Source organism: Homo sapiens, chromosome 1 (genome assembly GCF_000001405.40).
Source record: "Homo sapiens chromosome 1, GRCh38.p14 Primary Assembly".
NCBI classification, from domain to species: Eukaryota; Metazoa; Chordata; class Mammalia; order Primates; family Hominidae; genus Homo; species Homo sapiens.
In genome coordinates, this window is record NC_000001.11 from 99,982,384 (window position 1) to 100,003,783 (window position 21,400).

The following is a 21,400-nucleotide window of genomic DNA, read 5'->3' on the forward strand; positions in this document are numbered from 1 at the left end:
GCAATTAATGAAGATATAAATAATTTATCAGTATCTCATTAGTTTGGGGATGGTGGTAGTAAGTGTGCATTAATGAAACATATGCATTATATAATGTATATTTTTTAAATATTTAGACCTGTAAAGTAACTCGTAGTTGGCTGATAAAACTTTGTAAAGCAAGGATCTTTGGGAGCTGCTTTAATAAAAATGAAGGTAACTAGTATATCACATATATTTAACTATAGATTTTAGTGTGTTTGAAAATCTTTTTCTCTTAAGAATATTAAATAATTACTGAAAATATCTTTGAACATGAAATAAGCTAATATTTTTTGTATAAAATGCAAAAGTAAATTCTAACCAAGCCATCATCCAAACTCATTAAATCCAAATGAATGGAGTTTAGATGAATGAAATTTTCTTGTATATTTTCCCCCAAGAGGTGAGAAGAGATTTAAAAATAATAAAACTGAACTTTATAAATATCAAACATCCAAAAATTTAGAGGAGAATTAGTGATTAGAAAGCAAGTTCAAGATCGATTAGGGTGACAAACAAAACCCTGAAATATTTTTTGTGCACAGGACTGTAAAGGATTTATAGAAGTACTAGCAATGTGATTGCTGTATCAAATCAGTGTGATTGTAATGTCTACATTCATACCCAAAGATTATAATTATGGATCATTATAATAATTATACAATAGTTGATTATTATATTTTACTATATAGATATACTCAACGTTTACAATTTACAAATTTATGTGGAACTTTTAGAAAAAGTTGAAATTAGATTAATAGAATTGTGTGTGTGTGGGTGTGTGTGTGTGTTTCAGAACTGGAGGGGAGTGGAATGAAGAGAAGTTGGGTAATGGCTACAAAAATACGGTTGGGGGCCAGGCGCGGTGGCTCATGCCTGTAATCCCAGCACTTTGGGAGGCCCAGGCGGGCGGATCACAAGGTGAGGAGATGATATCAACCTGACCAACATGGTGAAACCCCGTCTCTACTAAAAATACAAAAAATTAGCCGGGCGTGGTGGCGGGCGCCTGTAATCCCAGCTACTCAGGAGGCCGAGGCAGGAGAATCTCTTGAAACCGGGAGGCAGAGGTTGGAGTGAGCCGAGATCGCGCCACTGCACTCCAGCCTGGGCGACAAAGCGAGACTCCGTCTCAAAACAAAACAAAACAAAACAAAACAAAAAAACAGTTGAATAGAAGGAATAAGTTTGAGTATATGATAATACAATAGGGAAATATATTATTTAATTTTTTTTTTCGAGATGGAGTCTTGCTCTCTCACCCAGGCTGGAGTGCAGTGGCACGATCTCGGCTCACTGCACCCTCTGCCTCCCAGGTTCAAGCGATTCTCCTGCCTCAGCCCCCTGAGTAGCTGGGATTACAGGCGCCCACCACGCCTGGCTAATTTTTGTATGTTTAGCAGAGATGAGGTTTCACCATGTTGGCCAGGCTGGTCTCAAACTCCTGACTGCGTGATCCGCCGGCCTTGGCCTCCCAAAGTGCTTGGGATTACAGGCATGAGCCACCGCACCCGGCCTTATTTTTTTATTTTATTTTACATTTAATTAATTATTTTACATTTCAAAATAGCTAGAAGAATTGTAATGTTCTCAACATAAAGATTAGTTTGTGGTGGTGGATATCCCAATTAACCCTCATTTAATCATTACACATCATATACATGTATGAAAATATCACATGTACTCCCAAAAGAAGTAGATCTGATATATCAGTTAAAAAGTACAAAAACAAGAAATAGAGGGGACCTGAGAAATCATATGAAATATTAAATTTTTAAAAATAGCATAAAAACACTTGTGTCTTATATATAATATTTAGAAGCCGGATAATTGATTCCCCTGGAGGGAAGAGGAAAGGAATAGACTTAGAGTTGTAGATTAAAGGGGCCTTTGCATCCTCATAGCTTAGCTCCCATTTAGGAGTGAGAACATAATGATGTTTGGTTTTTCATTCCTGAATTACTTCACCTAGAATAATGGTCTCCAATTCCATCTGGGTTGCTGTGAATGTCATTATTTCATTTCTTTTTATGGCTGAGTAGTACTCCATTGTATATATACCACAATTTATTTGTTGATTAATAGACATTTGGACTGGTTCCATATTTTCATAATTGCAAATTGTGCTGCTATAAACATGCGTGTGCAAATATCTTTTTCATATAATGACTTCTTTTCCTCTGTCTAGATACCTAGTAGCAGGATTGCTGGATCAAATGGTAGTTCTACTTTTAGTTCTTTAAGGAATCTCCACATTGTTTTCCATAGTAGTTATACTAGTTTACATTCCAGCCAGCAGTGTAAAAGTGTTCCCTTTTCAACACATCCATGCCAACATCTATTTTTATTTTTATTTTTTGATTTTGGCTGTTCTTGCAGGATTAAAATGGTATCACATTGTGGTTTTGATTTGCATTTCCCTGATAATTAGTGATATTGGGCATTTTTTCATATGTTTATTGGCCATTTGTATATCTTCTTTTGAGAATTGTCTGTTCATGTCCTTAGCCCAATTTTGGATGGGATTCTTTGTTTTTTTCTTGCTGATTTGCTTGAGTTCCTTGTAGATTCTGGATATTAGTTGTTTGTTGGATGTATAGATTGCAAATATTTTCTCCCACTCTGTGGGTTGTCTGTTTACTCTGCTGATTATTTCTTTTGCTGTGAAGAAACATTTTAGTCATCTATATTTGTTTTTGTTGCATTTGCTTTTGGGTTTTTGATCATTAAGTCTTTGCCTAAGCCAATGTCTAGTAGGGTTTTTCTAATATTATCTTCTAGAATTTTTATGGTTTCAGGTCTTAGATTTAAGTCCTTGATCCACCTTGAGTTGATTTTTGTGTAAGGTGAGAGAGGAGGATCCAGTTTCATTCTTCTGAACGTGGCCAATTATCCAAGCATCGTTTGTTGAATAGGGTGTCCTTTCCCCACTCTATGTTTTTGTTTGCTTTGTTGAAGATCAGTTGGCTGTAAGTATTTGGCTTTATTTCTGGGTTCTCTATTCTGTTCCATTGGTCTATGTGCCTATTTTTATAACAGTACCATGCTGTTTTAGTGACTATGGCCTTATAGTATAGTTTGAAGTCAGGTAATGTGATACCTCCAGATTTGTTCTTTTTGCTTAGTCTTGCTTTGGCTATGCAGGCTCTTTTTTGGTTCCATATGAATTTTAGGATTGTTTTTTCTAGTTCTGTGAAGAATGATGCTGGCATTTTGATGGGAATTGCACTGCATTTATAGATTGCTTTTGGCAGTATGGTCATTTTCACAATATTGATTCTACGCATCCGTGAGTGTGGGATGTATTTCTATTTATTTGTGTCATCTATGATTTCTTTCAGCAGTGTTTTGTAGTTTTCCTTATAGAGGTCCTTCACCTCCTGGGTTAGGTGTATTCCTAAGTATTTTATTTTATTGTTTTGCAGCTATTGTAAAAGGGGTTGAGTTCTTTATTTGATTCTCAGCTTGGTCACTGTTGGTGTATAGGAGAGCTACAGATTTGTGTACATTGCTTTTGTATCCTGAAACTTTGCTGAATTCATTTATCAGTTCTAGGAGCTTTTTGGATGAGTCTTTAGTGTTTTCTAAGTATACAATCATATTATCAGCAAACAGCCACACTTTGACTTCCTGTTTATCAATTTGGATGCCTGATTATTTTCATTTTGAGTTTATTCTACTGTTAGGCAGAATAGTAAATTAAATTTTAATTCTTTATAGGTAATCTGTTACAAATGATCATTTGTTTGCATATATTCTACTTTTTTTTTTTTTTTTTGAGACAGGGTCTCACTCTGTTGCTCGGGCTGGAGTGCAGTGGTGCCACCATGGTTCACTGCAGCCTCGACCTCCCGAGCTCAAGTGATCCTCTGACTTCAGCCTCCTGAGTAGCTGGGACTACAAGCATGCACCACCATGCCCAGATAATTTTTGTATTTTTTAGGAGAGACATGGTTTTGCCACATTGCATAGGCTGGTCTCTAACTCCTGGGCTCAAGTGATCTGCCTGCCCCTGCGCCTGGCCATATTCTACTTTTCAACTTTTAAAAACATACATTATAATAAATAAAGAGCATTAATAATAACTGTATTATTATGGGGAATGTTTATATTGATGTTTGGAAATGGAAATGCAAAATTTTCAAAGTATATCCTGACCTTTAATTTTTATTTATTTATTTATTTATTTTTTTGATTTTTTGAGACAGGGCCTCTCTTTGTTACTCAGGCTGGAGTGCAGTGGTACACAATCTTGGCTCACTGCAGCTTTGACTTCCCAAACTCAAGGGATACTTCCTCCTCAGACCCCAATAGCTGGGACCACAGGCACAGGCCACCATGCCCAGCTAATTTTTGTATTTTTTGTAGAGACAAGTTTTCACCATTTTGACCAGACTGGTCTCTCACTCCTGGAGTCAAGTGATCTGCACACCTGGGCCTACCAAAGTGCTGGGTTTACAAGCCTGAGCCACCACGCCTGGCCTAAATTTTCACTTGAAAAGAAGTTAGAGCATTGCTGTTATAATAGGGACATTATGGTCTTGTTTGCACAGAATAAACAAGACTTCCTTGAACAGATATGAAATCATTGTTTGACATTTTCCAGGAGAATTAGATGCCTCTGCCAAATGTAAGTTGCTGGAAACTTACTCTCCTTCCATATAGAGATAAAGGCACCAGGATGTCCTGGAATTTTACAATAGCATGTAGTGGGAGCCAGGGAGCCTGATATAAGCTATATAGGCTGGTGTCTCCAGTTACTAGTAGTGACCTTGAACAAATCATCTACTTCTCTATTCACTATTTTCGTCATTTTAAAGTGAAGAAATTATATTAGATGATTTCTAAAACATATTATACCTCTAAAGTGCTATAATTTTATTTCACATTGGACAAAATTGAGATAGATGATTACAAAGTCTATGTATTCTTTCCTCTAAGCTTGATCCTCTATTTGTAACAGAGATATATTATTCAATTTTTGTCTCTGAAAGTCAAATTAAATGCTTAAGATCGTTTTTTCCAATAGTTATAATCTATGTATATTTAATAGTGAGTATACGTATTTTACCATTAAAAATTTTATCCTTATATTCATGGTGCTGCATTGTTCGTGTTTGGAGCATATTCAGTTGAGGGTAGGAATTGCTGAATTTAGTAAGCTAGACTTAATGCTTTTAGGAATAGATCTCTCTGTAACTATGGTACTTAGCCTAATGTAGGCATGAAATAATGATTGTTGAATCTCTTTGAATATATTATATATATTACAATAATTAGGAGTTAAGGATCATATATATACAACCATACCTAAACCATGGTAGCTTGGTTGTAGCAACCTGGTAGCTTGATAGCTTGGGCTGTGAGAGCTCTAAAGAGATATACTATAAACAGGGTTCACATTTGAAAAAATTTAGGTAGAAGTTGGACTCATGGAAAAGATAGAGGTGGGGTGAAGAATAGACTAACAGAATGTCCTTAGAATTAATCCAAATAAATCAGAGCTAGAGCCAAAGTTGTGAAGAAAGCCTGGTTAGGAATGCTATTATTTGGTATGTCCTCAATCTTTAATTTTTTTAAATCAACTTTATTGAGTTCTAATTTACATACAATAAAATGTACCCATTGAATAAAATGAACCATTATACCCCTGAATTGTAGATTTAAACAAAATCCACAATTCAGTGAATTCTGATAAATAAATTCAATCATATAACTACCACACAGTATTTCCACCACTACCAAAAATTCTTTGCTGTCCCTTTGCAGTCAACCCTCAACCCCAGCCCCTATCTGTAGGTAACCATAAATTTGCATCTGTCACTATAATTTAATTTTGCCTTTTCTAGAATTTTATATATAAATGGAAAGATAAAGTATACAGTATACTGTTTTGTTTAATTTTTTTTTGCTCAGTATGTTTTTTACTTTTTTTGGGTGCTTTAGTGTGGCAGTATTTTATTCCTTTTTATAGCTGAGCATTATTCCATTGTATGGATATACCACATAGGATAATTTATTCAAATATTGATGGGCATTTGGAGTATTTCATTTCTGATTTTACAAATAAATCTCTTATAAATATTCATGTACAAATATTGTTGTGAACATGTGTTTTCAAATTTCTTGGGTATATCTAAGAGTGGAATTGCTAGGTCATATGAAAAGATTATGTTATTGTTTTCTTCCTTCTCTTCCTTCCCTTCCTTCTGTCCCTCCCCTCCCCTCCTCTTCCCTCCCCTCTCCTCCCCTCCTCTCGTTTCTTCCCATCCTTTCCTACCTTCCCTTTCTTACCTGTCTTTCTCCCCTTGGTCTCCTCTCCCCTCCCCTTCCCCTCCTCTCTCCTCCCCTTCTCTCCTCTCTCCTATACTCTTTTTATTTGAGAGGGTCTTGCTCTGTTGCCCAGGCTAGAATACAGCAGTTCAATTGTAGCTCACTATAACCTCAAACTTCCTGGGCTCAAGCCATCCTCCTGCCTCAGCCTCCTGAGTAGCTGGAACTACATGCATGTAGCACCAAACCCAGCTAATTATTTTTGTAGAGACGGGATCTCAATATGTTGCCCAGGCTGGTCTCAAACTCCTGGCCTCAAGTGATCCTCCAGCCTCAGCCTCCCAAAGTGCTGTTTTCTTTTAATAAGGAATTGATAAACTTTTTCAAAGTGGTCGTACCATTTTACATTTTCACTAGCAATGTTGAGGGCTGTTTGCTCTAAATCCCCTTTAACACTTAGTTGTATCAGTTTTTAAAATTTAGCCAGTCTAATAGGTACATAATGGTATCTCATTGTGGTCTTAATTTGTATTTCCCTAATGACCTTTTCCTATGCCTATTAGTCACTCATTTGTCTTTATTGATAAAATATCTTTGTTTTTTTGTTTTGTTTTGTTTTGTTTGAGATGGAGTTTTACTCTTGTTGCCCACACTGGAGTACAATGGCCTAGTCTTGGCTCACTGCAACCTCCATCTCTCGGGTTCAAGCAATTCTCCTGCCTCAGCCTCCTGAGTAGCTGGGATTACAGGCACCTGCAAGCATGCCTGGCTAATTTTTGTATTTTTAGTAGAGATGGGATTTCATTATGTTGGCCAGGCCGCTCTTGAACTCCTGACCTCAGGTGATCCACCCACCTCGGCCTCCCAAAGTGCTGAGATTACAGGCATGAGCCACCGTGCCTGGCTGGTAAAATATCTTTTGCCTATTTTTAAATTGGATTGTCGGTCTTTGATTTATTGTATTATTAAAGTTCTGTATATATTCTGGATATATTGTCAGATACATGTATTGAGAATATTTTCTCCCATAATGTAGTTTGCCTTTCATATTATTTTACAGTATCTTTGGAAGAGCAGTCTTTAATTTATTATTGTTTTATTTTATTGAGGCAGAGTCTTGCTCTGTCACCCAGGCTGGAGTGTGGTGGCATGAACATGGCTCACTGCAGCCTTGACCTTCTGGGCTCAATTGATCCTCCTGCCTCAGCCTCTTGAATGCTGGGACCACAGGTGCATGCCACCATGCCTAGCTATTTTTTTGTAGAACTGAGGTCTCACTTTGTTGTCCAAGCTGGTCTTGAACTTCTGGGCTCAAATGATCCTCCTGCCCCAGCCTCTCAAAGTGCTGGGATTACAGGTGTGAGCCACTGCACCTGGCCCGATTTTTAATTTTAATGTGTCCAGTTTATCCATTTTTTTCATTTATGGTTTGTGCTTTTTGTATCCTAAGAACTCTTGGCCTATCTCTACATGATTACAGTTTTTTTCCTATGCCTTGTTATTATTGAATATTTATAGTTTCAGCTTTTGTAATGGCTATATGATCCATTTCTAGTTAATATTTGGTGTGAGAAAGTTAGGGGTAGAGGGTTATTTTTTAAAAAATACGTATATCTGGCGGGGCACGGTGGCTGAAGCCTGTAATCCCAGAACTTTGGGAGACCAAGGTGGGTGGATCATGAGGTCAGGAGATCGAGACCATCCTGGCCAACATGGTGAAACCCCGTCTCTACTAAAAATACAAAAATTAGCTGGGTGTGGTGGCGTGTGCTTGTAATTCCAGCTACTCGGGAGGCTGAGGCAGGAGAATTGCTTGAACAAGGGTGTCAGAGGTTGCAGTGAGCTGAGATCATACCACTGCACTCCAGCCTGGTGACAGCGAGACTCCGTCTCAAAAAATAAATAAATAAATAAAAATACATAGATCTCATTATTCCAGTCCAGAACTATTTGTTGAAAAGACTGTCCCCTTTTTTCTGTACCTTTGTCAAATATTGTTTGACAATATTTATATATGGTTTAATAGACTGAATATTTGTGCTCTTCTCCTCTCTGTCCCCTGCCTCCCCAAATTCACATGTTGAAATCCTAACTCTCAATATGATGGTATTAAGAAGTAGGGCCTTTGGGAGGTAATTAGGTCATGAAAGTGCAGCCCTCATGAATGAGATTAGTGCCTTTATAAAAAGAGACCCCAGAGAACTCTCTGTTTTCTGCCATGTGAGGATACAATGAGAAGACAGACATCTGTGAACTCAGAAGAAGGGCCTCACTAGAACCCAACGATGCCAGCACTCTCATCTTGGACTTCCAGCCTGCAGAACTGTGAGAAATAAATTGCTGTGTTTATAAGCCACCCAGTCTATGATACTTTGTTACAGCAGCCTAAGCTCATAAGACATATGGATCTAAATCTGGACTATATTCTGTTCCATTGATCTATGCTTCTGTCCTCATGCCAATACCAGGTTTTGTTTTTTTGTTTTGAGATGATGTCTCGCTCTGTCGTCCAGGCTGGAGTGCAGTGGCGCAATCTCAGCTCACTGCAACCTTCGCCTCTGGGTTCAATCAATTCTCCTGCCTCAGCTTCCTGAGTAGCTGGGATTACAGGTGCCCGCCACCATGCCCGGCTAATTTTTTGTATTTTTAGTAGAGACGGGCTTTCACTATGTTGGCCAGGCTGGTCTTGAACTCCTGACCTCGTGATCTGCCTGCCTTGGCCTCCCAAAGTGCTGGGATTACAGGCGTGAGCCACCGCGCCCAGCCACCAGTTTTGATTACTGTAGTTTTATAGTAAGTCTGGAAGTTTGGTAGCTTAAGCCTTTCAATTTTGTTTTTCTTTTTCAAAATCGTTTTGATGGTCTAGGTCCTTTGTATTTCCATATGATTTTAAAATAAGCTTGCTTGGTTTTTGTTTGTTTGTTTACCAAAAAAGCCTACAGCGATTTTGTTCAGAATTGAATTGCATCTTCAGTTAAATCTATGACAAAGGATGTGATCATCACTAGGAAAGCAGTCAGGTATTAGACACTGCATTAAGTCCTTCCTTGAATCCTTGAATTCAAGTAAGATCTGATAGATCTTTTTTTGGAGACGTAGTCTTGCTCTGCCGCCAGGCTAGAGTGCAGTGGCATGATCTCGGCTCACTGCAACCTTCACCTCCCGAGTTCAAGCTATTCTCCTGCCTCAGCCTCACGAGCAGATGGGACTACAGGTGCGTGCCACCACACCCAGCTAATTTTTGTATTTTTAGTAGAGACGAGGTTTCACCATGTTGGCCGGGCTGGTCTCAATCTCTTGACCTCATGATCTACCTGCCTCAGCCTCCCAAAGTGCTGGGATTACAGGCATGAGCCACTGCACCCAGCCAGGTAGATCATTTTTTTGTCTACCATGGTAATGGTGGTTGATAGTGTTCAGATTTTCTATATTCTTACTGGGTTTTCTTTTTTGTTGTTATTTTACTAATTACTGAGAAAGGTAGGGTAAAAATCTTTAATTATGACTGCATTTACCTGTTTTCCCCTTTAGTTATGTTAGTTTTTGCTTTATGTATTTTGAAGGTATGTTATTAGGCACATATGTGTTTTAAAATGGTTATATTTTTCTAATGTATTGACCCTTTTATCATGATGAAATGTCCTTCTTTGATTCCAGAAATAAATCTTATGTAACCCATTTTGGCTGATATTACTAAAGTTTCTTTAATTTTTTTAGTTATTTTTTTCATGATATATCTTTTTTTGTCCTTTTACTTTTTAACCTATATATGTCTTCATATTTAAAGTAAGTCTCCTGGAGTAATACTGAATTGCTTTAGGGAAAATATAGGGATTTTGAATTAGTTTCATTGGGGGAAGCTGGGTGAAGGGTACATATGAACTCTTGTACTATTTTTTAAACTATGTGAGTCTAAAATTATTTTAAGTCTTCATAATTGCTTGTTGCTGCATTTTTAAGATAGCTTGCTTGAAATTCTTTTCTGACTATTGCAACAACTGTGTCATCTCTGCATTGTTGTCTGTTGGTTGTCCTTACTCATCCAAGTTGAGACCTTTTTTCTGTTTGTTGGTATAATAAATATACTTACTTTGGATTGTTTCCTGAACTTTTTGCATATTATGAGACTCTGTTTCCTATTTAAATCTTCTATGTTAATAGACAGCCACTGGGGAGGGAGGAAGAGTACTGCCTCCTTGCAAACATTTGCCTTCTATAGGACAGGAATGGTCAGCAGGGCTCTGTGCCACAGTTTCTGTGGCTGTAACCCCTAGTGGGAGGGGGAAGGGCCACCACCTCTGCTCTCATTGGTTCAAGACGAGGATGGTCAGTAAAGTTCTTTCTTGCTGATTACACAGTAACCAGTTGAAAAGATTTTATTCTGAAAGACTCTTGCCTTCTCAGGCCTTTGGTTAGAGAAAGTATGTTTTTCTTGGGGCTTTTGTTGTTGTTTTTGTTCTATGCCTTTGAGCAGTTTCAGGTTTTGGGCTGCTGTAGCACCCAAAGTAGATTACATCTGTAGCAAAAAAAATCTCTAGGGAACTCACTGCTGAGTCATCCGTCAAGATCTGATGTCTCTATCCAATTTACCTTATTTTCTTCACCTTTCAGAGTCTTCTGGTAGTTGCTTTTTGTTTCCAATTCAAGGTTTTTGGTTGTAATTAGCAGAAAGAATAAGGTGGAGTGTGCTTATTTCATCTTGAGTCTCTTGGTTTCTGTTTTTTTTTCTTTTTTCTTTTTGGTGGCAGGTGGAGGAGAGACCTGCAGGCCCTCTCCCTTCTCCCTCTCGGTGTTTTTAAATATACTAGTTTTCATATGTTGTAATCTTATTTATTTGCCCTGTTTATTTTGTTTTTCAGGCAAATGAAGATAAAACAATGTTCGCCAACCTAAAATACGTTTCCCTGGGAATTTTGGTCTTTCAGACTACCAGTTTGGTTCTAACAATGCGTTATTCCAGAACTTTAAAAGAAGAAGGACCTCGTTATCTATCTTCTACAGCAGTGGTTGTTGCTGAACTTTTGAAGATAATGGCCTGCATTTTATTGGTCTACAAAGACAGCAGTAGGTATCTAGGTTTTTTGTTTTTAATCAATGCAATTTATTTAGTTTGCATATATATATTGGTAACTACACATTTGCACTCTTGCATTGTCGAATGGCCTAGTATGAAGAATATTTCAATATTTTAAAAATTTTCTTAAGACATTTTAAGTCTAGTAATAAAGCCATTTTAATCTGTATCATGATTCATATCTTCTGGTTAATTCTGTAAATATAAAATAGTTTCTTGCATTTATAATAATTTGAGAGTAAGAGTAAATTTTATAAATCTGTTACTGTTAGAACTCTAGAAGAATCATAATAATTTTTTTACTAATGTAAACACCTTCTGTTTTATTTGCTTTATTGATTAGTCCAGCAGTGACTAATTTTATATAGTTTTAAAAAATAGTTCTATTGAGATAATTCATGAGCCATACAATTTATGTGTTTAAAGTATATTATTTAATGGTTTTTGGTATATTTCAATTATAATGTTTTAAACCTGTGGTAAAGTATATACACATAACATAAAATTTGCCATCTTAACTATTTGTAGTGTACACTTCATTGTCATTATTTTACAGTGTTGTACAACAGTGTAAATTTTTAAATCACTTTTATCTAAAATTTTTTATCTAAATTTTATCTAAAATTTTTAATCTAAATTTTATCTAAAATTTTGTATCACTTTAAACAACAACTTTGTAACTGTTAAGTAATAACCCCCATTCTCCCTTACCCACAGCCCCTAGTAACCTCTAATTCACTTTCTGGCTCTATGAATTTGCCTATTCTAAATATTTCATATAAGTAGAATCATGTATTTGTCCTTTTAGGTCTGGCACTTAGCAAAATGTTTTCAAGATTTGTTCACGTTGTAACATGCATCAGAACTTTATTCCTTTTTATGGCTGAATAACATTCTATTGTATGGACGTAACACATTTTGTTTATTCATCCATGTGTTGATGGACACTTGGGTTGTTTCCACCTTTTGGCTATTGTGAATAATGCTGGAAAGAACAATGAGTAATGCTTCAGTAGATGTACAAGTATCTGTTCGAGTCCCTGTTTTCATTCCTTTTGGGTATATATTTAGGAGTAGAATTGCTAGGTCATATGGTAATTCTATGTTTAACTTTTTAAGGAACCATCAAACTGTTTTTCACAGCAACTGGATCATTTTATATCTCCATCAACAAAGTATGAAGGTTCCTGTTTCTTCACATCTTCACCAGCACTTAATATTTTGTTTTTTTGTTTTTTCAAATAGCCATTCTAATAGGTGTGAAGTAGTTTCTCATTGTGGTTTTGACTTGTGTTTCTCTAATAACTAATGATGATGAATTTTTATGGGGTTTTTTTTTGGCTTTTTGTGTATTTTCTTTCTTTCTTTCTTTCTTTCTTTCTTTCTTTCTTTCTTTCTTTCTTTCTTTCTTTTTTTTTCGAGACTGAGTCTCACTATGTCGCCTAGGCTGGAGTGCAGTGGCATGATCTTGGCTCACTGTAACCTCCACCTCCCTGGTTCAAGCAATTCTCATGCCTCAGCCTCCCGAGTAGCTGTGATTACAGGTGCATGCTACCACACCCTGCTACTTTTTGTATTTTTAGTAGAGATGAGGTTTCACCAGGTTGGCCAGGCTGGTCTTGAACTCCTGACCTCAGGTGATCTGCCCACCTCGGCCTCCCAAAGTGCTGGGATTACAGGAGTGAGCCACCACACCTGGCCCTTTTTGTGTATTTTCTTTCGAACTACATCTGGCATGGCTTGTTAAAAGATTGAATATGTGAAAGTCAGAAGAAAGGAGGAATCCAGCTTGAGGAATAATTGCTAGGTTTTTAGATTAAACTATTGGGTGAATGGGTGCTGCAATTAATGATATATATAAATAGATTTGGGGGGAAATTAAAGCTGCTTTTTGCATCATATAAGTTTCAGACAGCTATAAGGCATTCCCATTGAGATGTCAAATAGTAGAGTCTATGCATATGGAGCTCAAGAATTTGTCAGTTTACATTTTGCTTTAAAGTTGAGGATTGAATGAGATAACCTAGTGTATACTAGAAGAGGAGAAGGCCAAAGGCTGAACTCTGTTGCATTCCCAATATTTAGATATCAGATTCCACAGAAGGAATCAGCAAAAGAAGACAGAAGCAAAATAGAAAGATAAATGGAAACGTAATAGCCAAACTGAGATGGTAGTGTTTTTGCTGCTAAGGTATAGATGAGCAGAAGTATTCACTGCATTTAACATTGTGGAGCCAAAGATATCTTTGACACAAATAGTTGCATTGTAGAGAGATGTGGTGAAAATGTGGTAAAACCAACTTTTCAGTGAACCAAAGCATCTATAGACACACCATACAGAAAAACAGATTCCAGGTGGATTAAAGATTGACATTTAAAAAGCAAAACTTTATGACCTTACTATTGTGAATGATTTCAAACAACATACAAAAGGTACAAATAAGACATAAAGGAAAAAATAGATAATTTAGGGTATATTGAATTGAAAAACATCTGTAAATCAAGTCAAGTAAGAAGGCAAGTCACAAATTAAGAGAAGATATTTATATCACTTGTAACCACCAATAATTAATATCCAGAATTACAATTACTCCTACAACTCAATCAGAGTTCATAGAAACTTAATAGAAAAGGGGGCAAAGGATATAAACAGGTAATTCACAGAAGAAGAAACCTGCATGGCAGATAAATACATAAAAAGATGCTCAACTTCACTAGCAATCAAGGAAATCAGATTAAAACCACAGGACACAATTTCACTGCCCTCAAATTGGCAAAAATAAAAAGTCTTAATACCAGGAATTGGTGATTATTTAAAAACTGAATTTAAAAATTAAAAAATAATCAGGTTTGGTGCACACCTATAGTCCCAGTTACTTGGGAGGCTGAGGCAGGAGGATTGCTTAAGCTCAGGAGTTGGGATCTAGCCTGGGCAACATAGCGAGGCCCTCATCTGTAAAAATAAAATAACATAAAGTTAAGGTAATATTTTAGTTTTCTTTTCTGGTAAAACTAAGAAAAAAACCTTTTGGTAACTTTTATCTTAGTTAAGAATTTTTCAACTATTATTTTGGGTTGAGGAGAGGGTGAGTACCAGGTAGCAATTTTAAAGTTTTTTTTATTTCAAAAAACTTTCCATAATCAAAGTCTTCCTATTTTATATTGAGAGAAAAAATTGTCTAAAGTATCATTATTGGTAAATAATTCTAGGGTTCCTTCGAATTAGAATAATTCTAGGCTCCTTAGAACCCTAATTCTAGGGTTCCTTAGAATTTCTCATTTTTTTGAGGAGTTTATGTATATATCTCTAAAGGATCTTTGGCCATTTTTCATGACTGTTAACCATAAGATTGGCCAGCTCAAAGTTCACTTTCAATCCCTTTCTCCCTTTCTTGGCTCTAACGTGGAGGAAATAAAGGAAAAGACTTCCCGGCTTCCTTGCAGCTATGGGTAGTTATGCAACACAATTCTGTTCAATGAGAACCAAGAAGATACCTGCTAAGCTGCTGTTTCCTCTCCTTTTTTTGCTGCCTGAAACAAGAACTAGAGATGTAGCAGTACTTTGATGACCTTGTTGCAATAATCACGTAGACAACAGATGAAAAGCATGAAGATTAAAAAGCCAAAATATATACAGTTATATGTTTTATATATAGTTTTATATATATATATATATATATATATATATATATATATATATATATATGGATCTTAGAATAGTGTTTAGTTGATATTATCACATACCAGGCACATTTTGGTTTCCAAAAATTGGACATGTATTAAGATCTAATATATATATTATATATATTATATATTTATTTATTTATTTATTTTACCATCCAGGAATTTTCTCAAGGTTATATTGCAGAAATTTTTAAAGCCTGTTATTCTACTCTAATGCAGTTATTTTGTTTTTCTGCTATGCCTTTTTTTCTAAGTATACCTCTCTTGGACATAATTTTAATAATTTACAATATGAAGAGACACAGGCTTAATTTGTAGCAGCATTGTATTAACAGGAAAGAGAGAATCCTGCTATCTCTTTGATAATCCAGCTGAACCTAGAAGCCTGTTTATCACCAGAATGGGCTGCAGTGGTTAGAGGATTTCCAACCTAGATACTGGAAGGTCTTTAAAAGATAATGCTGTATGAGAGATTCATGCAACCAAGAAGGGGTTGGTTCCTCATAACTCTGAAATCCTCTGGCTCCAGCTTTCTCTTTTTTTCCTCTCCTGGTTGATGGCACCTTGACCCATTAGTGGCACCACTTTGAGTTTTCTTCAGTCTCAATGTCGCAGTCAGGGTGGGAGAAGTGGAAGAATAAGCCTTCTTCCAGACCACTGGTTGGCAGCCTGTGCCAGAGCTAATCTGGTTTGTTTTCAAGCCAGTGACAGTCACATTTCTTTTTTTTTTTTTTTTGAGATGGGGATCTTGTTCTTTTGCTCAGGCTGAAGTGCAGTTATGCAATCATAGCTTGCTGCTACTTCAAACTCCTAGGCTCAGTTGATCCTCCTGCCTCAGCCTCCTGGATAGCTGGGACTACAGGTGCATGCCACAACACCCAGCTAGTTAAAAAAAAATTTTTTTTTGAGACAGGTTCTCATTATGTTTATCAAGCTGGTCTTCAACTCCTGGCTTCAAGTAATCCTCTCACTTTGACCTCCCAAGATTCTGGCATTACAGACAGGAGCCACCGTGCCCAGCCTGACAGTCACTTTTAGGAGTGGGTTCATTTGCTTCTAGCATCCACCTTCCCACTTTTCTTAGAGTCCTTTGTCCACCCCAGGGACTTTTCCCTTCCTTTCACAGCTAGACACTTTGGCACCCTTTGCAACTTGCTTGGTGCAGGGTTGCCACAAACTTTCAATTTGGAAGAAAATGCAATATTTGAAAAGTGTAATAAAATGAAGCATAATTAAATGAGGTATGCTTACAGAGAGAGAGCGCCTGGGTCCCTGAGTCTCTATAAAAGCTTTAAATCTGGACTCACCCCATGTGACACAAATCCCTATGGGTTGAACTAGTGTTAGTTGGGTTTTCTGTTGTTTGCAACCAAACCCATTCCCTAACTGATTTACCTTCTTTTAATGATTAAAGTCTTCACAATTACTAATTGGCATGAATGGCTGATGATAAACAAAATGCACAAAATACAAGTTTTTATAACATTGCTATAATAAACTAAGAATACTTGGTTAACAAATTAAAACTTTGAGATTTTGGCTGTCATAAATATGTGTTTGTATGTGTTTGTATATATACATATATGTAGATATACATAAGATACATTTGATTATATATCAGAATAAAAGAATATGATTTCTTAATACATTATAATATTTAACATTTTAAAAATCAGCATCATAAAGATATATTTTAGTCCTAAAAGTATCTTGACATGTAGCTCAATTTTGTTTTTCTATAGGTTAGAAAATTGAGATCTTGAGAGCAGATATGTAACTTATTCAGAGTTACTTAATTACTGATTTTTCTCATATTATTTTCTAGAATGTAGTCTAAGAGCACTGAATCGAGTACTACATGATGAAATTCTTAATAAACCTATGGAAACACTTAAACTTGCTATTCCATCAGGGATCTATACTCTTCAGAATAATTTACTGTATGTGGCACTATCAAATCTAGATGCAGCTACTTATCAGGTACTTAAAATACATTTCTTTCTTTTTTAAAAAAACTTTTTTCTTATACATAATAATTGTATATATTTATGGGGTACATGTGGTATTTTGATACATGCATCCAATGTGTAATGATCAAATCAGGGTATTTAGGATATTCATCTCCACAAACATTTATCATTTCTTTGTGTTGGGGACATTTCAGATCTTCTCTTCTAGTTATTTTGAAATTTTGAGTAAATTATTGTTAACCATAGTCACCTTACTATGCTAACACTAGAACTTATTCCTTCTCTCTAACTCAATTTTTGTACCCATTAACCAATCTTTCTTTATTCCTCCCCCTGCCCTTGTATCTTTCCCATCCTCTGGTAGCTATCATTCTGCTCTCTACCTCCATGAGATCCCCCCGCTCCCTTTTTTTTTTTAGCTTCCACATGTGAGTGAAAATACGATATTTGTCTTTCTGTGTGTGCCTGGGTTGTTTCACTTAACATAATGACCTCTAGTTGCATCCATGTTGTTGCAAATGACAGGATCTCATTCTTGTTATATCTGAATAGTATTTCTTTATGCATTTATCCATTGATGGACACTTAGGTTGAGTTCATATCTTAGCTATTGTGAACAATGCTGCAATAAATACAGGGCTAGAGATATCCTTTTGATATACTGATTTCCTTTCCTTTGGATAAATACCCAGTAGTGGGATTGCTGGATTGTCTGGTAGTTCTATTTTAAGTTTTTTGAGAATGCTTTGTACTGTTTTCCATAGAGGCTGTACTAATTTACATTCTCAGCAACAATGTACAAGAGCTCCTTTTTCTCCACATACTCACCAGCACTGGTTATTTTTTGTCTTTTTGATAATAGCTATTCTAACGGGGCAGGATGATATGTCACTGTGGTCTTGATTTGCGTTTCCCTGATGACTAGTGATGTTGAGCATTTTTTCATATACCTGTTGGCTATTTGTATGTCTTCTTTTGAGAAATGTTTATTGAGGTCCTTTGCCCACTTTTTAATGGGATTATTTGTTCTTACGCTCTGGAGTTCTTTATATATTATGGATATTAGTTTCTTGTCACATGATTAGTGCAAATATTTTCTCCCATTCTACAGATTGTGTCTGTATTTTTTTCTTTGCTTTGCAGAAGCTTTTTAGTTTAATATAGTTCCATTATTCTATTTTTGTTTTCATTGCCTGTGCTTTTTTTCTTATGTATTTATTTGTATATCTTTTAAAATATGGAACACTTCATGAATTTGTTTGTCATCCTTATGCAGGGGCCATGCTAATCTTCTCTGTGTAATTCCAATTTTAGTATGTTTGCTGCTGAAGCAAGCACTGCCTGTGCTTTTGAAATAACAGCCATAAAATCTGCCCTGACCAATGTCCTGAAACATTTCTCCTCTATTTTCTTCTAGTAGTAGTTTTATAGTTTTGAGTCTTATGTTTACATCTTTAATCCATTTTGGGTTTTTTTTTTATATGGTGAGAGATGGGATCTAGTGTCATTTTTCTTCATATTCATATCCAATTTTCTCAGCGTCATTTATCGAAGAGGATGTCCTTTTTCTAATGCATGCTCCTGGCACCTTCGTCAAAAATCAGTTGGCTGTAAACATGTAAATGTATTTTGGGGTTCTCTATTTTGTTCCATTGGTCTTTGTGCCTGTTATTAAACAAATTCCATGCTATTTTGGTTACTATAGCCTTGTAGTATATTTGGAAGTCATAGTGTGATGCCTCTAGCTTTGTTCTTTTTGCTCAGGGTTGCTTTGGCTATTATTCAGGGTCTTTGTGGTTCCATATGAATTTTAGGATTGTTTTTTCTGTTTCTGTGAAGAGTGTCATTGGTATTTTGATGGGGATTGTCCTGAATCCGAAGATCGCTTTTGGTAATATGGTGATTTTAACAATATTAATTCTTTTAATCCACAAGCATGGTATATCTTCCCATTTGTGTCCTGTTCCATTTCTTTCATCCGTGTTTTGTAGTTTTTCTTGTAGAGATCTTTTACTTCCTTGGTTAAATTTATTCCCAGATTTTTTTTTTGTAGCTATTGGAAATAAGGTTGCTTTCTTTATTTCTTTTTCAGCTAGCTTGTTATTGGTTTATAGAAATGCTACTGATTTTTGTATGTTGATTTTGTATCCTGAAACAACTGAATTTGTTTATCAGCTCTAAGAGTTTTTTTAATGGAATCTTTAGGGTCCTCTCTATATAAGATCATGTCATTTGCAAAGAGGGACAATTTGACTTCCTCTTTTCCAGTTTGGATGCCTTAAATCTCATTTGCCCGATTTTGTTCCAGTTTTTAAAGGAAAGCCTTCCAGCTTTTCCGCATTCAGTATGATATTAGTTGTGTGTTTGTCATATATGGCCTTTATTATGTTGATATGTTCCTAGGAATATTTTAAATTTTATCAAATGCTTTTTCTGCATCTATTGAGATGATCATAAGGTTTTTATTCTTCATTCTGTTGATATGGTGTATTACATTTATTGATTTTGCATATATATTAAACCATCTTTGCATCCTTGGGATAAATCCTACTTGATTATGGTAAACAATCTTTTTTATGTGCTGTTGGAATTGATTTGCAAGTATTAATATTTAGTTCAGGATTTTTGGGTTCTCTGTTGTTCTGTTCAGGAATATGCAACTATAGTATTCTTTTTTGCTGTGTGCTTGTCTGGTTGTGATATCAGGGTAATGCTGGCCTCACAGGATGAGTTAGGAAAAATTCCCTCCATTTGATTTTTTTGGAATAGTTTGAGGAGAATTGGTGTTAGTTCTTCTTTATAAGTTCAGTAGAATTCAGAATTGAAGCCATCCAGTCCTGGACTTTTCTTTTGTGGGAGGCTTTTTAAGTGCTGATTGAATCCTGTTACTTGTTATTGGTCTTTCTTCTTTGTTCAATCTTGGTAGGTTGTATGAGTCCAGGAATCTATCCATTTCTTGTAGGTTTTTCAATTTGCTAGTATATAGTTGTTCATAATAGTCTCTAATGATCCTGTGTAATTCTGTGGTGTCATCTGTACTGTCTCCTTTTTTGTTTATGATTTTATTTGGGTCTTTCCTCTTTTTTTCTTGGTTAGTCTAGTTTGTAGTTTATTGATTTTATTTATCTTTTCATGAAACCAATTCTTCTTTTATTTCATCCTTTGTATTTTTGTTTAGTTTCTATTTCATTTAGTTCTGCCCTGATCTTTTGTTGTTGTTGTTGTTTGTTTGAGACATTCTCACTTTGTTGCCCACACTGGAGTGCCATGGCACAGTCTTAGCTTACTGCAGCCTCAACCTCCTGGGCTCAAGAAATCCTCCCATCTCAGCCTCCTGAATAGCTGAGAATATAGGCATGTGCTACCATGCCGGTTAATTTTTTTTTTTTTGTAGAGACAGGGTCTTTTTATGTTGCCCAGGTTGGTCTTGAACTTCTGGCCTCAAGTGATCCTCCCACCTGGCCTCCCAAGGTGCTGGGATTATAGCTATGAGCCACCATGCCTGGCCTGCCCATCTTTATTATTTCTTTCCTTCTTTTAGTTTTGGTTTGGTTTGTTCTTGCTTTTCTAGCTTCTCGAGGTATATTAGGTTGTTTATATGAATCTTTCTAATTTGTTGATGTAGGCATTTATTGCTGTAAACTTCCCTTTTGTCACTGCTTTTGCTGTATCTCATAGGTTTTGGTATGTTGTGTTTCAATTTATATTTGTTTTAAGAAATTTTTCTAGGCTGGGCACAGTGGCTCACGCCTGTAATCCCAGCACGTCGGGAGGCCAAGGTGGGTGGATTACCTGAGGTCAGGAGTTTGAGACCAGCCTGGCCAACATGGTGAAACACTGTCTCTACTAAAAATACAAAAATTGGCCAAGCATGGTGGCGGGTACCTGTAATCTCAGCTACTCAGGAGGCTGAGGTAGGAGAATTGCTTGAACCCAGGAGGCGGAGGTTGCCGTGAGCTGAGATCACACCATTGCACTCCAGCCTGGGCAACAAGATTGAAACTCCATCTCAAAAAAAAAAAAAAAAAAAAAAAGAGAAGAGGAAAAAAAGAAAATTTTCTGTTTTGGTCTGAGAAGATACTTGATATGACTTCAACTTTTAAAGATTTGTTGAGACTTATAGCCTAATATATATTCTATTCTGGAGAATGCTGCATGTGCTGATGAGAAGCATGTGCATTCTGCAACTGTTAGATGAAGTGTTTTGTGAATGTCTGGGAGTTCCATTAGGTATAAAGTGTAGTTTAAATCCTCTAATGTTTCTTTTGTTGATTTTATTTCTAGATGATATATGTGCAAAACTGAGAGTGGGGTTGTGAAGTCCCCAATTGTTACTGTATTGGAGTCTATCTCTCTCTTTAGAGCTACTAATATTTTC

At 36.2% G+C, this 21,400-nt stretch overlaps 1 protein-coding gene, 1 long non-coding RNA gene and 1 pseudogene across 22 annotated transcripts in view; 1 reads left to right on the plus strand and 2 right to left on the minus strand.

Moving 5' to 3' along the window:
- The window catches only part of LOC124904230 (uncharacterized), a 124,812-nt gene that overhangs the window by 69,187 nt on the left and 34,225 nt on the right, over positions 1-21,400 (minus strand). The gene's annotated exons all lie outside the window — the stretch shown is intronic.
- The window catches only part of SLC35A3 (solute carrier family 35 member A3), a 65,639-nt gene that overhangs the window by 12,388 nt on the left and 31,851 nt on the right, over positions 1-21,400 (plus strand). For all 13 annotated transcript variants that reach the window (NM_001438725.1, NM_012243.3, NM_001438728.1 and 10 more), the window contains 2 exons: positions 11,154-11,358; positions 16,878-17,032. In NM_001438725.1, coding sequence (NP_001425654.1) covers positions 11,172-11,358; positions 16,878-17,032 — 342 coding nt within the window. In that variant the 5' untranslated portion in view covers positions 11,154-11,171. The remainder of the gene's footprint in view (positions 1-11,153; positions 11,359-16,877; positions 17,033-21,400) is intronic.
- Positions 18,254-18,356, minus strand: RNU6-1318P (RNA, U6 small nuclear 1318, pseudogene; annotated as a pseudogene).